Here is a 9,186-nt window from a genome sequence, read left to right on the forward strand (position 1 = left end):
ACCATATGGCATAAAGTTGATGCTGAAGAGCTATTTGTAGATGACTTAAATGAGGGCTCTGAGATCGCAACTGAATCTGCCTTGAGAAAGACAATGTTTCAACTCTCTGTAGTGACTCTAGGACAGGTTGGTTGTACACAGGAACCATACAAGCCTGAACAACTCACCAGATGAGAGTCTGAAAGTCAAGTTCCCTTGTTTTCCCTCCTTAGCCAAAGATTTCTGCCTTTATAAAGAAGACTTTTGTAATCTGTGTGTACCCTTTCAGAGTTAATTAGAAATCTGAGATTCATTTTTCACAGGGAAATGGAGAAATATTGCACTTGCCATACTTGGTGTCTGGAGAAGGATGAAAGGTGATACTGAGGTGAGAAAAGGGCATGCCTGGACAAACAAGACTCTGCTTCTTCCATAACTCCATGGAGAATTCTTCCCTATTCTGTCTTCCTTTATTTCCCTGATGTAAATAGTTATTAGCCTTTTCTGTTTTATGACTAGTTTTAAAGAGCTGATGGAAACTATTGGCCCTTCCCTTAGGAAAATGTGTATACACACACACACACACACACACACACAGGTTTGTACACAATTGCAAGAACTAAATGGACCTTCCTGAGAATCTACGGCCCTCTGCTCAGGCCCCACCTTCAGGTTAATATTCTCAAGGGTTCTGGAGACTTTGTGAGATATTCTCTCCAGGGAAAGATGACAACCCATTTGGGATGTCTTCTGTTATATTGGAAACAAGTATTTGTTTCTCAGGAACAACTTGGGTGCTTCTAAGTTGTTAGGAAGCATATTCATTTAAAAAGAGTTAAAATAACACTAGAATTTCTTGCCTCGGGCAATATTAATATCCTATCACAGCATTTAAACCAGAAGAGAAGAAAAGATAACAAAGAGGGAGAGATGGCATATCAATTATGGTAATTAAACACCCAAACCTGACTATTTAAAAGTAACTTTCCTATGTCTGCACTGACAAGCAATATAGAAATAATAATAATGATGAAAGCAAAAACTTAAACAGCTCTTACTAAGCACTAGGTGTTATTCCACATGCTTTAACTAATATGAATGATTACGTTATCGATTCCTTCAAGAAAAGTACAAGAAAGGGAAAAGATTTTATTTTTCTTAAACAGAGCCCAGAGTGGAATAGAGATTTAAAATATTCCATTGATGTGACTGTCGAATTTGTATTACTTTTTTGTTTTGATGCTTTACTGGGTAAATTTTTATGTCTCCAAGGATTTAATGGGATCCAATCAACTTGCCACTCAGCAGGGGAGGTCCAAGGATTCCTACCTCTCCATGGGCCATCTGGGTGGCAACAAGTGGATTAATTGTACAAAGCCCAGACTCCTTCAGAGGAATTTCATAAACCCTAATGCCTTGCTTACCCCCATTGTTCTCTAGGAAAATTCTTGTTTTCCACCTCTGTTGGTATGTTGCAAACACTTTATCCCAGAGACACTGGGGGCCATGGGGAATGGAATGCTGCCCATGAGCCAGATGTTTGTAAACCTTAGCTCTGAAATGTGGCACGATACCACAAACTGTCAAGTTGTATAAAAACTAAAGCAAAGACAAAAACAGAATGTAATATTTACCAGATGAGATTTGTGTGTGTGTGTAATCTTGTTGGAATTTTGGGAGTATCCAACTCTCATACATTTCAAAACGGGCCTTGTGTCCCACTCCATTCTACCCCCCACCCATCACCACCCCCCACCCCACCCCAGTTTCTCCCTCTTGCACAGGGAAGGAGAAAGTTAAGAGAGTGAAAGGTTTTGTCCTAATAAACAATGAGCTTGATATAGCCCTAGGCACTTAGCTATACATTGAAGGATATACAAGACGTTTTTGGCCCCATCTCAGAGGGAGAGTCCTGAAAATATTTCTGGAACAATTTTCAGAAGTAGTGTGAAACAATGGGATATTATGTGTGTTGGCAATTTTTATTCTGCATGAGTGGTTAAACAGTTATATAAGCTCTATGTTTGTTAGCTTGTCCAAAATTTTAGCATGTATAAAATGAAACTAGATTCAAGTGAGAATTCCAAACATATGGAATAAAATATTTTTCTCAGTATGACTATTGATATAATTTCATTATGTGTATATTCTGACACAAATGAACAGCCTGAAGAAACCAATAGGAGATACCTGTTTAAATGACTTTAGGATGAATCAAAATGGGAAAAGATGAGAGAATTTTAAATGCATTTGAAACACAGGTTATTTTGGAGAAACATCAGGTTATTTAATTTTGAAAAGGTAGGGAATCCTTTTAGTTTGAAGGGCTACATCACAAGTTTGGGTACCCTTCCTATTGAGAGAGGAAGTGAGAAATTTGACTGAGTGGTTTCATTGTGACAGACACATTTGTAAAAGGTAGGTCTAGCCCGCCAGTTTTGTACCATATTACCCTTCCTCCCTTACAACTGGTTAGAACAGGGGTAGATTCAGGACTTAGGGGGAGGTAGGCCGAAGACTAGATGATAACGCATTCAGTTCTTTCTCTTGAAAATCTGAACTAAGAGACGCGTCACCTGGAATCAGACAATGGCAGGCATCTTAATGAAAGGTTACATTGAGATGAGAATGAGGTGGCCTTTTTCAGCCAATTGTGAGCTGAGAGAGTAGCAGAGAAAGCCAATCTGCCCTGACAAGTGGGAACTTTGATCAGTGGCACAGAGAAAAGAATATAAGAGGTGTGTTCCCAGAAAGAGAAACATGGAAAGCGTAGATGTCTCGAGGATGGATGGTTTTCCATTTCCTGTCCACGTAAATCTCTAAAATGGATCACTCCCTGATTCGGAGCTAGCTATATGGATTTCTCTTACACAGATGCGAACTGCCAAAACGCCTCTGCTGGTAATAGAAAGTTCTAGCACCATTAAACTCAAGACTAGAAAAAATAACCAACCATTTCACTTTCTCAAGTTATACAAATGTAACATGTAAATTTTGCCTTACAGATATAGAAATTTTACAAAACTTGTTGTTTACTTGGTTGGTTTTTTACAAAAATCTCTCACACCTTTGGGTGACACTGGGGTGTAGCAAAACCAGTGTAAGAAACGTGTTTGCTGGGGAAAACATAGTGACTGTGCTTGGCATAAAGCTGTGTTTAATAATTGGGTATTGAATGGAATTTACGGCATTACACAAGATAGGTGAGAGCAGGGTGGGTTTGCAAATAAAGCTGCTAATACCTACATTCCAAGTCTACCATAGATGGTTGATTTTAATTCTTTTTATCCAGCTGTGTTGCAGCAAGTGCAACTGGATTTGTTAATAGTGAATTAAATGAAATAGATACTGTACATGTGCATTATGGGAACCATAAACTCCATAACCTTACCAGAAGATTCTAGAGGAGGAGACAAAGATTCCCATGGTGTGCTAGTGGATAATTTGAAAGAAACTACCTTACTTTCAAGTCTCACTCTGATTAATAGAGGCTCTGATGACAAAAGATCAAGCTGCCACTTTAGGAGGTCAAGATTCTAGTTTCAAATTGCAATTAAAATGGATTTCTGCATCCATTGCCAACCCCTCCCACCCTCCATCCAGCACTTCCTTTCCCCACCCCAGTCCCTGGATTTCTCATTTATGCTGTGGCTTTCCCAAACACTGAGCTGAGAAGGGAGTCTTTTTGCAAATTAGCACACACATTAATGATGAATACTATTGACTGACACTATGTGCTGGGCACCTTGCCTTCATATAACTTGTCTCCTTAAGGGTTATGTGTGATAGACATTTTTCTGATCTCTCTTTTACAGGTGCAGACAGCTATGCTCTCAGAGGTCAGGTTACTTGCCCAAAGTTACACAGCTCTTAGTGACAGAGCTGGGATTTCCCCACCGATCTGACTGCACAGCCTGTGTTATAAACAACTAAAGCCTTCAAATTACATAGTTGTATGCTTGATTCTTGAAAAGACCCAGTCCCAGGGTTATTTCAGATCTTAGAAATGTTTTCATAAATGACCAGGAACCTAGACCAGAAAGCTATAGATTCTCTAGTTAAGAAAATACTAGTTGCCAGTTTAAACAGTATGATTTTTTCATATGCCCACTAGTATAAAGTGATCTTGACAGTTTTTTCTATATGGAAATAAAAATCACCACCTATTGTATTATCAACGGCAACACATTGAGTTGACATATAATAAATGTTTTCTAAATTTGAACTACAAAGGTCATTTAACTTCATATAAATTAATATACGTATATTTAAAACTCATATTCTGAGATGGTCTTTATTCACTCATATTTCAAGGAACCTAGGGCAGGCCTACCTCCTGCATAATTCTATGTACAAACAAGGCTCACAAATAAGAATTTTCCTAAACAAATGCAAAATTCTTTGGATTTACCTGCTTTGTGTTAGGAATCAGGAGAGATTGTTGATCTACTTTGTGTTAGGAATCAGGAGAGATTGTTGATCTACTTTGTGTTAGGAATTGGGAGAGATCGTTGAGAGATCAACAAATTGAGGCTAAAAGATCAATAAATTGGGGCTATTTTTGCAGACCCATTTTCCTGGAAAATGAAAGTTCTCACATTCTGGCTTGCAGTTCATTTTTTAACTTTATACAATATATTTTAAATATAATATCAGATTAAATTTTATCTATAAAACATGTTAAGATATTCCCTGAGGTAATAAGGTCAGGGGCAGTGGTATAGTAGGGAAAATTCCTAACTTGCAGTTAGACATGGGCCTTAGAAGGTGAGGTCTGTTGTTGTTTAGTCCCCTGGCTATTCCCCAGTGAGATACAACGTCTTGTATACCATGTCTTGCCCTTCTGAATTGAATATTGTTAGTTTTGCTGCTGTGCTAATATAGAAATGAGAGTGACAATTATGCAAATAAATATTTGCTTAATATAACAAATTGTTCTATTTTGGCTCCTTTAGCTGTGCTGTCCGATTTTTTTTTTAAATAAGCTGACATTGGAAATAAAAGAAATGTAATAATTACCATGGGAAATATAGTTTAAAGATGGGAAAGGAGCTAAAATAGCAGTTGTAGAAAAGGGATTCAAAATCATTTGATGTTACCAACTGTACAATTAATGGGGCTCCAAGGAGAGGAAGGAGTGAGTGAGTTCCCAGAGCTATTAAGATTCCATCAGCCCCTCTCTTGCTTTTAGCAGTCCTGTTGTGTACCTTTGACAGTTGGCATGGATTCAAACGCAGAGGGTGCTTTGCTTGGAAATTCTCTCACCCACGCAAAGAAGGATGGGGACAAATTAATGTGATGCATAGAAATGGAAGCCACAACATACCACCAAGCAAGTATCCGTAACTAAATCATCCCTATAATTCCTCATATATGCTTAACCCCCTTGATCTCTTCTCTCCCCACCTCTTTTTCCCCTTCAGTTTCTTATTGTCATTTTTTTTTTCTTTTTTAAAGAAAAAACTTCATCTGATCTGGCAGAGAATGATAAACCTCCAAAGTAGGCATTTTTTGTTTTAATGACAAATGTTATCCTAGGGCAGCAAGGGAGGCCGGGATGTACACACAGAGTTATCTAGTTATAACTGTGACAATGGCTGGTAAGGGGAGAGCTTGGGAAAGCTCTTCCATCAAATGGCTGGGTGCGTTTTCTCTTCTGTGGAGAATCTGAGTCAGCATGAGGGATCTTCTCATTGCCCACTACAAAGGCTTGGGGGGATTAGTTAAGATTGTAGACCTTGCCCTTATCAGAGTGGTCAGAATACAGGTAACATTAGCCCCTTCTTTGTCTTCGTCCCAAAGAAGGCAATAGGAAACCCTTTGTGATTTCCGGGCTTGGATTGAGTTTAAGATGCTTCTCTGAATTGATGGTACACCTCAGGTGGAGCTACCTCATTCTCTAGGCAGTCTTGTGTCCAGGTGGAATTTGGGCAGTGAGGGGTGGGGGTGGGAAGGGAGATTTAAGGTTCTGGCTAAGGCTATTGGGAAGAAAAATGTTTGCTATTTGTTTTCGTTTAACTGGCCCATCATTCTCCTAAATAGCTTTAGAGAGAGAGCAAAAAAAGAATAGGGTTTGTTTGTCTAACTTTAAGATATTAAAATAGTGGGATAGAATGGGCCATTAAAAATGGTTCTAGAGAGCACCACAAATGCTAACATGGAAACACATGCATAATATATTGTGGAGGAAATAAAAACAGGTCATGAATTAATATGTATGATATCACTTTCTTTAAAAAAAAGTATGTGTGTATTTGGGGGTAAAAGTGTCTAGGAAAAAATAAATGTTAATAGAGGTTGCCTTGGAAGGAGGATTTGGACAGCTTTGCATTTTTTCTCTTTGCTTATCTATATTCCCCCTTTTTTCCTACAATGTTCAAGCTTTATTTCCATAAATTTCTATTTTAAATGAAAAGTTTGAAAAGTAAGATACCAAGGAAGGGAAGAAAATAAAAATGGGGGTTCCAAAGTCAGATCTAGCTGAGGCCCTAGCTGTGGGAATGTAATAATTTAACATGCATGACCATGCTTTGTAAAAACACACACCTCCTGTGGATATGGAGTTGTGTTTACTAGTATTTACCTCCTTCCGTTTTGGGAGAGCTGAGCCTTTCCTTAAGAATTTTCTGTGGCTGACAGGGTGGTGGCTGTGTGCTCCCCACAGGAACACCCGCCATCCTCCATAGTCCCCACAGAGCCCCACCAGCTTCCAGCTGGCCTCATTGTGGTGGTGGCAGTGGTATGTATGCATGTATGAAGGAAAGGCACTCCTGGACATTAGTCAGAGGAAAATGAGACATATGTAGAAACAGCTCCTAGATAGAATTGTGGCAACAAAGGGGTTCAAACAGCTTGGAATTCAAACCCTAGCCTCCCGTATATATGTATGTATGAGACAAGCCACATGCCTGGCCTAATCGCAGCTTCCTCATTCAGGAAAGACAATAACCCTGATGGCTCACTTGCTGGGCTATCATGACATAGGAGAAAATGAGTGTGTAGCATTTGGCAGGCAGCCTGGCATGAACCAAGTGCCCAATGCATGTCAGCTGCTGCTCATCCACCCAACAGTCCTTGCAGATGACATTCAGTGCTGATCAGCAGTTACTGTTACTGTTACAAACTATCTGGTAATGGGAAAAATCGTTATTGCATGACCCATTAATAACTGGATGGTAGGAGGAAGTAGCACCCAATGTACTACATTCTTTTGATACCAACTATCTCATCTTGGTGTTTGCAATGCAACAGGCTTGGTCCTCCAAATGGTTTCAGGGCTTTATTATATTCTGCCCAAGAGGATTTTCTTTGCCTAACTCAAGAAACAGGGCAAAAGATCAGAGAGAGAACGGCTATTGCAATGGTGAATAAATAAGGCTGTAATCTGACCACTCTTCCCACGCAGTGCTGCAAGCCTTGTGACTCATTTTTACAGCTTTGCCCTGACTGCTAGATCAGGGGCCCTGTCATTTCTTGGACATTCACTGGGTATAGTGCAACAGCATGGAGGATGACAAGCAGGTCCCCTCTGATGCCTGCAGATCTGTTTGAATCCTGGATTCTCTATCCCTTAGTGATCTCCTGTGCAAGCACCTTACCTGTCTCACTCAACTGTTTTAAGAATGGGAAATGATGTATTTAAAGAGTCTAGCATAATATCTACATAGAATAGGCACTTAATATATTTTTATTATTACTCCTCTTACTACCAAACTGAATTCAAAACAAAAGGGATGATAATCCATTTCTATCCTGTGAGGGACAAACAGCCCCTAGTGTTAGGCTCTGTTCTGAACACCATGATAACAAGGATCTAATACACTGGAGGTGTGTCTGGAAAAGATCAAGGAGATGAGAACAGTCAGTGCTGGGTGATGTCATGCTTGGCTGACACAAGGATGCTTAGTTGGACATTGACAAGAGAAGATACCTTTTTGCAAAGAATAGTAATAAAAGTAACAACAACAATTAATATTAATTACTGGTCGTTATATGCCCAACCTTGTTCTAATTTCATTGCACGCGATAAATTTGTTAATCCTCACAACAATTATTTAAGGTATATTGTCCCCATTTTAGAGATGAGAAACTGGGTCATAGGAAGGTTAACTAACTGATATATTTGGGAAATGGGATTTGAAGCTGGGGCATCCAGCTTCTGTGTCCGTGCTCTGCCCCACTGTGTCATACCCACCTCCCTTATCTAACGAGGCTGCCCTGGGGAAGGGAAATTAAACATGCTCCATTACCGAAGGAGGGCAAAATAGGTTCTATAGAAGAAACTTCAAGGAGAGAGATCTCTATATAAGAAAGGTTATCAGCAGTGATTCAAAGATTGGCTACCATTGGAGTTAGCAAGTCTTCTTTACTAGAAGTGTTTAAGTAGTTGTTGGCCATCTGGGCTGGAAAAGTTTTGAGAGGATTCTAGCATCTGGAAAATGGTTACAGTAAAGAAACTCTAAGTCTCCTTGCAACTTTAAGATTCTCCTGTGCCTAGCCTAACTGGCATTTTAAATAAGAATTTGAATGAATAACTGAATTCAATGAATCCATGAACATATCAGATCAGAGATTCACCTGATATGTGCAGAGCAATGATGACCTTTTCTTCCAGAAGCCTACAATGCTTAGTGACTTTAGATATGTCCATCAACAGAAAAGGTTATCCTTATATTGTAATTTTATATTTGACTATTTTCTTTGGTATAATTGGATGTAAAAATCTTTGCCCACAAGAGATAATGCCTACCTACTATAAAGTAGAGCACATATTAGAAGCCCTAATGAATGATGATGTCCATAGAAATATGATTCAGTTCCAGGTGAATATCCTAGATGCTGCCAAGGTGTCCCAGGTCAGAGATCTATCCTGAACCAGTCATTCATTCATTTACCAAGCACTGATTTTATTTAACTTAACCCTTACTATGTGCCAACTCTTGCACCAAGAAGAATGAGGAAGACCCTATTATCAAGGGAGGGCATTTGCCACGCAATGTAATAGATAAACATGGGGTAGAGAAAGCATGGGTGATGCCTCAGGGACTAGATAAACTAAGCCTTGTGGGGCAGGGAAGTTTCGAGGAGAACTCCAAGCTGAAGAAACTGGATATTCAAGGACCTAGAGGCAGGTAGAGGGCCAGGCACACAAGAGGCCCTTGATAAATAGTTTATTCACTGAATACAATGGACCTGTGGGCTGCATCA

The 9,186-nt window shown here is 39.4% G+C and overlaps 1 annotated feature.

The window, feature by feature from the left end:
• Positions 6,689–7,212: an enhancer, noted in NCBI's record as "OCT4-NANOG hESC enhancer chr5:158067088-158067611 (GRCh37/hg19 assembly coordinates)". NCBI's record gives its function as "activates a minimal SCP1, AML or CMV promoter by ChIP-STARR-seq in primed H9 embryonic stem cells {active_cell/tissue: H9 hESC(primed)}" and the evidence as "EXISTENCE:reporter gene assay evidence [ECO:0000049][PMID:30033119]".

The sequence above is a fragment of the Homo sapiens genome, chromosome 5 (genome assembly GCF_000001405.40).
Source record: "Homo sapiens chromosome 5, GRCh38.p14 Primary Assembly".
Lineage (NCBI taxonomy): Eukaryota > Metazoa > Chordata > Mammalia > Primates > Hominidae > Homo > Homo sapiens.